The sequence below is a fragment of the Homo sapiens genome, chromosome 10 (assembly GCF_000001405.40).
Source record: "Homo sapiens chromosome 10, GRCh38.p14 Primary Assembly".
Lineage (NCBI taxonomy): Eukaryota > Metazoa > Chordata > Mammalia > Primates > Hominidae > Homo > Homo sapiens.
In genome coordinates this window covers 89,955,767-89,964,283 of record NC_000010.11, presented here as the reverse complement: position 1 = coordinate 89,964,283, position 8,517 = coordinate 89,955,767, and the positions used below count along the sequence as shown (strand labels likewise).

Here is an 8,517-nt window from a genome sequence, read left to right as displayed (position 1 = left end):
TGGTTACTATTATTGGAAAAGGCAAATGTCTCCTTAGTCATCTGAGAAAGATCTTTCACTTGTCTTCTTGTTGATCTTCTCTTCTTATGCTAACATTCTCTAACCATTGGAGTCTTCTGTGTAGTAGGCAGTAAGGAGGAGTATCTTGGTATCTTGGAGAGTCCATACATGGGTTCTCTGGGGGGTCCTGTAAGGCCTCCCCCTGCAGAGCCTACTACCCTCTTTCATGATTTCCCCAGGATCTCCCACAAGCAGGCAATGCCACAGCCTTTTGCTGTTGAGGTTCTTATACTCAGAAAACTTCCCTCTTGAGTGGGAATAGGAAACTGACCCACGCTACCTCATGTTGTGTTCACCCATCCTCGGCATGACAAATGTCAGTATATAGGTACTCCACAGATGTCCCACATCTCTGACCCATCTTCTTTCTCTGTTCTCCTTCTCCCTCCTCAAACAGGTACAGAGACATAAAAGCAAGTTGTCAAAATGGAGAGCAAAAGTAATCCAGTTTTCCCTTCTTGAAAACACCTAGTATTTTCACAGATGATTCTCTTGGTGAGAATCATCTCTTCCCTTGTGGGGAGGAGAAGGAAAGTTGCCTCAGAATCCCAGAGGAGTGGGATGACACATTTCCTCTCTCCAGGCTTCTTTTATAGACAAAGAAGGCAATGGTGATTAGCAGCAGTGGGATTTGACCACCTTTTAATAAACAAACCCTATAAGAATGTTTCCAACTCCAGTTCTGGGCTATTCATTTACAGCTCTCTCTACAACATGGGGGTACTTAGCATCCTTGCTTTTCCATTTTGGCCCTGGCTACAACTTAATGACTCCAGGAGAAGTTAAGCATAAATAATATTTAAATGGCCATGTAAAATATCACATCCAATTACAGTAAGATTTTCTTTGTACCTGATCTTCTCTTCCTCCTCCTGTGACCTTTTAGAGTGCTCCTCTGATACTTGGATAAAGGAGTCTTTCTCTGCCAAAGAGGCTTCTTTAGCAACTTAAACCAAACCAAGGGCAGCAAGTAGGCTGTACCTCAGATATTAAATTGTAAAATTGTAAATCAAATTTGATTTTATATCCCATTCAAAACTTCCTCTTTGTTCCCATTGCATGTTAGACTTATAGGTTGAGAGGCTCAAAATGCCTCACCTTTTATACACCTTCCCCTCTTCCCTCTTCTAGAAATTAACTTCCTGAGTATTAGGGCAGGAAAGATGAATGGAAAATGAGTTGTGATGGTTGCATAATTGTCACTAGCTAATTGGAACATTGTACTAATGATCATGAGACTAACGGCAGGCCCAGTGAAAAGGTGAGCCTTGATCAATTAGCAATGTCAGCTAGGGGTGCAGGTGGAAGGAAAGAAGCAATGGTCATTCTGAGTATTTGATAGCCTTAATCTATACTCTTCTGATATTTCAATGAGAATTTCCCTATTCAGTTCATCTTTTGCTTCTGTAGGAGAATTTTTATAAAATTTAGGGACCAGCATATGTGAGGATCATTTTGTCCTGGAATAACCCCTATGTCTGTACCTATTCAATGACCACAGCTTTTGACTTTCAAAATTTTACCCCAGATTTATTCAGCTTTTATTTCAGACAACATTATATATTCTGCATATCCTTAGCCTGAAGCTGGAACCCAACTTAAATTCGATCAAGTCACAACAAGTTTCTAAAATGATGTGTCATTATCTCGTACAAGGTTGTCAATTATGAAGCTTATAAATAATTCCTCCTAACCCAAAGCTTTATTTCACTTCAGCATCAGTCTGGAGTTTATTTCAGCCTATCTCTGAGTTCCTCTTAAAGGGCAAGTTTCCATAAATTTGAACCCCAGAGAAAATTCATAAGACTTTTTTAAAAGATACAATTTTTATTTCAATAGGTTTTAAGCAATCCAGTAAAAGAGCTAAGTGGCCAAAGTAGTGGGACACCAATTTAATTTGTAACGTGCTCCATATTTGAGGGAAACACTATTCTTTTGACCTTTCATGGTCTAAATCAGACAATAATTCTCCTTCCTTCATAAATAGCCATTTGTCAGCAAAATAAAGATGCAAAAAATGATTGCATGTTTCCTCCCCATGTCTTACCTTCCCTTATTCCTGGTGGAGAGGGGATCCTTGATGAGAGATAGTGAAGAGAAAGATACTAATAGAGTAGATCAACTCATCAAGGTTAAGCAATGAGAACATATCAAGAGCAAGTTTTATTTCTCTTGTAGCTGCTCCTCTCTGAAGACTCTGAATGACTAAAGACTACTCTGACAGACAGCCACAGATGGAAGCATATGGCCATCTCTAAGATGAAGCCTGGGCATCAGAGTTGGAAGGAGAGTGCACAGAAATGTAAAAAGAGGTGGAAAATACGAAAGGGGCAGACAAAAGGTGGGAAACAGCAACAGAAGGGACTGTCTGATATGCAGCAGTGGCAGATTCTTTAAAAAGTTTATGGCTTGGGAGGCCAAGGTGGGCAGATCATGAGGTCAAGAGATCAAGACCATCCTGGCCAACATGGTGAAACCTTGTCTCTACTAAAAATACAAAAACTAGCTGGGCGTGGTGGTGCGTGCCTGTAGCCCCAGCTACTCAGGAGGCTGAGGCAGGAGAATCACTTGAACCCAGTAGGCAGAGGTTGCAGTGAGCCGAGATTGCACCACTGCACTCCAGCCTGGTGACAGAGTGAGACTCCACCACAAAAAAAAAAAAAAAAAAAAAAGTTTATGGCAACTTTACAGGAAAAGTTAACACACACGCACGTATTGCACCATTCTTCAGATTCTAAGTATGCTATCAACTTGTTGGAAATATGATTCTCTTCTTTCATTTAAGCACCTGTACCTGTTTGCTCCTCTAGATATTACAGACATAACTGAGGGGGTTATACAAGGAACCAGCATGCTAGGTTCCGTGAGGCCTGAAGTTGATTTTGAAGGTACAACTTTGAATGGGTTCTGTCTGGCTGTCTGTGGACGCCTCTTTTCTTAGAAGCAGCCCAATACCCTCGATATCACCCCGACCTATTAGCCATAGGCAAGGCCACAGCAAGCTCTTAAATCTCCCTCTCTAGCACCCCCTTACACTGTCCTCTTTCTCTTCCCTCAATCACTCAAATCTCCTACTTCAGTCTTGTCTGACCCAAGTATTTATTCTTTTGTTTGGATCGGATCAAGCTTCATTGCTGGGCCCTTTGGATTTGATGCCTGGGAACATCCTTTGGTTCTCCAGCCATTACTTTGGTTTCTTAACTCAATTCTCCTTTCTTCTACCCTCAGCTGAGGGCCAGCTCCACACTCAGGAACCCCAGCCTGGGCAGAATTCAAGGACTTTTTTGATAAGAAGACAAGTACAGACACACTCCTGAAGATTATACATTTCTTTTTTTTTTTTTTTTTTTTTTGAGACGGAGTTTCACTCTGTCGCCCAGGCTGGAGTGCAGTGGCGCGATCTCGACTCACTGCAAGCTCCGCCTCCCGGGTTCACGCCATTCTCCTGCCTCAGCCTCCCGTGTAGCTGGGACTACAGGCGCGCGCCACCATGCCCGGCTAATTTTTGTATTTTTAGTAGAGACGGGGTTTCACCGTGTTAGCCAGAATGGTCTTGATCTCCTGACCTCGTGATCCGCCCGTCTCGGCCTCCCAAAGTGCTGGGATTACAGGCGTGAGCCACCGTGCCCGGCCTATACATTTCTTTATGTCTACATCTCCTGGGATAATATTTTGAGTAAAGGAAAGAAAGAAAGAAAAATGTAGCCAACTACTTATCCCTCCCGCTATCAGCCATGCACAGCATAGATGAAGTAGGTGAGTAGATTACTAGACTGATCTCTTTCCCCTGCTCCCCACATTATTAACTTTTGGGAGTCATTCTTCTGAACAGTCACAGACTCTGTCAAAGACGATGTCTAAACAGCAGTGAATTAACAAGTTGGAAAACGTACCCATCAGATGAAGCCTTGTCTTTGTCTTGCCAGATCAACCAGTTTATTGTTTTTCACTAAGTTAACTGGGATGGCTGCTTTTGACAATAAGAAGGCACAGCTTGAAAGTGACTTGGCTTTGTTCAGTGAAATGATGAGTTTATTTGAAAACAAGAAAAAGCAGCATAGATTTGAACCCTATCCTCCCCTAAAAGTAGCTCCGTATGCCTTATGTAGGAATGGGTACAATCTTGGTGTTCAGAGAGAATGTGGTGAGTTTTTTCAGGCGATATAAGAAAACTATAATAACTTGTGACAGGGCAGAGATCGTCACAGAAAGATATCCTTAATTAGCCCCAATCTAATGCTGAGTCATTCGAGGGCATCAATTACTCATAATAGGAAGAAGTCCAAGAATCGTAACCAATCATCAATCAACATTTGCTGAGAATTTTCTCTGTAATCAGAACAATAATAGGAGTGCCTATGAGAAAGGAAAGACTCAAACCCTGACCTCAAATGGCCTGCAATTACTTGAGCCAAGACAGGCAACATAAAATATAAGGGAGGAATACAGGATTATATAGACCTCATAGGATGTAAGCTCCATTCTTCAGTAGAAATCTGGCTTTATGTGTAGGGCTATTCACAGGACTAACCTCTCACAGATGGCACGTTATAAGAATTCTCAGCTGTGGAAAACAGAGGTGGCTTCCATTTGTTTTCAGTTCTGTTACCTAGGTCTCTACTCTCATTTACACTTCCTTTATTTCTATGCCCACTACCGAAATCTTATCTGTGTGACACATGGGTCACACAATTAAAACTGCCACTATACTACATCTCCAGACTGCTCTGCACTTGAGAATTTCACGTATAATTTCATGTGCTGAAGAAATCATTAATGTTCCTAATGCATAAATGAAGAAATTGAAGCTCAAAGACTTTGTTTATTGTTTTCAAGACTGGCTGAGCAGTACAGTCACTTAGGAAGCTTTTTTTAAAAAAAATAATTTAATTAAATTAAAAAATTCTTGCCCACCTCAAAAGCACAGTAGATTAATTTGTTATAAATTACTAATTTGAGGGGAAAACTGGTTTGTCATAAGACACACAGCCTTAATATGGCAAAACCAAGAATCAGATCTCTAGTTCCTGTCTCCAAACTCAGCCAAACCATTCTACATCCTACAGTCAGACATTGCTTCACAAAGGACATTCATCTATATCTTATGTGATCCATGTTGTGTCACATGTGAAGGCTAGTCAAGGTACACTCTGGTGGGATTGCTGTGTGAGTATTTAAAAGTCTGTGCATGTGAGTTTTACCACACTCAGAATTAGAAGGTAAAAGCCCAGATTTTCAAGGAACTGAAAGGAATAAGACTTATTATCAGTTTGTCAATATTTTATGTAAAAGAGATGATGGAGAAAGAATTTCACAAGCTACCAATGAAAAAAGTTTTTTAAGAAATCTTTGAAAAACAAGGTTGTTGATGAACTGGAATTTCACTTTTAGTTCTCTCAAACCCCTATCTCATCAATTTGGGGTCCAAATTGGCATGGGGATGACGATGCCAATCAGGGGCATTATATATTCTCATGCCCTATGCAAGAGCACAAGAATATGGGAGAAATTAAACCTATTATCCTTAAACCTTATAGCCATTTCCTGATTCTGCCACTCAGAGATGTCTTTTTTTTTTTTTAACTAACATTAAGAATTAACATTAAGATGCACTATAAGTCAGAGCAGGACCTCCAAACGTTAATAATTGTGAATCATCTGGAAATCTTGTTAAGATAGATCCAGATCTGATTCAGTAGGTCTGGGGCCCTGAGAGTCTGCATTTCTGACCTGCTCCTAGGTGAGGCTGAGGCTGCTGTAGACCCAGCCAGACTTCGACTGCAAGTTGCTAAAATAAACCATGGTACCATCTGAGATGAGAAATGGCCCCTCTTACATAATTAACTAAGGTAACACATTGACAGCAACCAGAGGCTACCAATCAGAACAAACATTTAAGCAGTTATTGTGAAAAAAAAATCTTTACATGTGATTTATTTAAAATGTGTGGTCAGCTGAAGGTATTTCTGTGTTCCAGACTGACTGAGAGGGCTCTAGGGGCTAAAAAGTTTGAGGCAGTTTTCCTGGAACTACACACCTGGGAGAAATAATCAGATTGAACACCAACTGACACCCATGCCTCAGCATTCTCTTTTCGCTAGATCCATACCGTAAGTTATTACAGCAGGATTAATGTTGGGCAATAATAAGAAACCTCTGGAGAACGGTGAAATAAGGGGAACCAAGGACCAGTATGGAATTGGGACATAAGATTTCCTCTGAGAGTTAAGCTCTAAGGGAACTGAAACACAGATGTGCAAAGTTACCTTAAGACAGAAAGCCTCCTAAACCAATAACATTTGACTCTAATCTAAATGGGAAAATTATCCCACCTAAAGAAAACAGAGACCTCAAAAAGACTAATCGCAGAGACTAATTTTGACACTGTACAACTAAGAGAGAGAGAGTCCTGATTCAAGAACGTGAGGAGATTCACCTACATAGACAACATCTGATTTCACCATAGTGGAAATGTCAGACATTTAGTACCTAATGCCACAAAACAGGGGCTGGCAAACTACTGTCCATGGGCCAAATCTGGCTGAATCCCATTCTTTTAAATAAAGTTTTATTGGTACCACAGGTGCATCCATTTGTTTACACATCATCTATGGCTGCTTTTGCACTACACTATCAGAGTTGAGTAGTCTTGACAAAGGTTATATGGCCCACAAAGCCTGAAATATTTACTGCCCAGCCCTTTACAGAAGAAGTTTGCCAACGCTTGCCATAAAGCTTTTCAATTATATAACTAATTCCCCTTGCTCTGATTCCACACTAGCCAAGCAAACTTCTGATTATAATTGGTTTCCTGGGTAGTACAGCTGAACATTCCAAACTCCAAATTCTGAAATCCAAAATGCTCTAAAGTGCAAAACTTTTTGGGCATCAACATGACTTTTAAAAGAAATGCTCATTGGAGCATTTTGAATTTCAAATTTTCAGATTAGTGATGCTCAGCTAGTAATATTACTGTAAATATTCCAAAATCTGAAAAAGTCTGAAACATCTCTGGTCTCAAGCATTTCAGATAAGGGACACTCGATCTACCAACAAAGGAGAGAGCCCCTTGAAAGTGTGTTGGTTATTTCTAGCTGTATTTGCATTCTAGGGTTTTGGAGGTTTTTAACGTAATGTCTGGGAGCTTGCCTTATCTGAATCATCCGAATGATGATTTCTTTCTAAATTTGCTTTTTTTAAAAAAAAAATCACTTTTCTAGTGATACATATAAAAGAAACTAATGAACTAGGTCATGAAGTATGAATAGCAGTGTCAGACATTCAAGACAAAAGGAACAGCATACTTAAAAATGAAGTTGTAGACAAAGTATTAACTGTTTCAAAATGTTGGATTTTCTAAAGACCATTTAAATGCTGATGCCATTTATCTTTAGGAAGCTGGTATTGTTTGCCACAGTTATAACAAGCTATTGTTATAATTTCTGCTTATTATTAGAATCCAATAGAATTTTTACAGTTTGTTTTGAACACTTCTGTCATCTATTGTTCAGTTTGTTTTCATTATGAAATTCAGGTTTACTCTCAGTTTCTCCCAAAAATAGTAATTAACTATTCTGGGAATAATAATTTTAACTGGTTCATAAATGAGCATATACTAAACAACACTACTGTGCTGTATATAAATCTGACTCATATATTTTATAGCTCTTACTTCTTAGAAATAGAAAAACTTGCTTCTATATTAGAAAAGAAATCACTTTTCTAAGCCTATAAGACTAATACCTAGACATTTAGATTGTGGTGGGTTCACTTTTCTTCTTGTTAGAGGGCACTCTGAATCACTCTTCTGGTGAAGATCTCTGGGAGTTACATGCAAGCGGTGGGCCTGGGCCCATTTCCACATCCCACAAAGAGTGCATTTACTTTGTGTATCCAGAAGAGCAAAACTCCCAACTCTACTGCTTTGTTTTCAAACGGACAGCCAAGCATTCGATGTCTTCAGCTTCACTCTCTACTTTGTGCTTGGGTTCCATTTCTGGTTCATATAGGTATTTACCTTATTTTTTAACTTGACTTTGCCTTTTTATCCCTCTTTATGTTTTTATTTATGTTGTATATTCTTTTATGTATTTGAAAGAGAAGGGGAGTGTCCTGTTATGAACATGCTATACCATCTTGACTAAGAACCCCTTTGCTGATACCCAATGGGATTCCTTTATCTGGTCTAACTGACTAGATATTTTATCATTTATTTTTCAGTCAAGGTTTATTGAGCACAATATGATGGTGTAGGCATCTTTGGAGATATGCTATCTGCAGGTTCAGCTTTGGAGATTCAGAAGTGACATGCACATGCCTCTGACACTCTCATGGAGTTCACAGTTGGAGGTAAGCTGAACCATTTGGCAATCTACCTCACAGATTGAACACAATTGCCAAATTGACCGTTCCCCAACTCAGGTTCATTTCCATCATGACAAACTAATCTTTCCATTT

General features: G+C 39.6%; 1 long non-coding RNA gene across 1 annotated transcript in view; it reads left to right on the top strand.

The window, feature by feature from the left end:
- The first annotated feature begins 6,910 nt into the window (after positions 1–6,910).
- The window catches only part of LINC01375 (long intergenic non-protein coding RNA 1375), a 41,885-nt gene continuing 40,278 nt past the window's right edge, over positions 6,911–8,517 (top strand). Inside the window, exons 1-3 of the long non-coding RNA NR_110655.1 lie at positions 6,911–7,135; positions 7,847–8,069; positions 8,281–8,409. This is a non-coding gene — a long non-coding RNA (long intergenic non-protein coding RNA 1375). The remainder of the gene's footprint in view (positions 7,136–7,846; positions 8,070–8,280; positions 8,410–8,517) is intronic.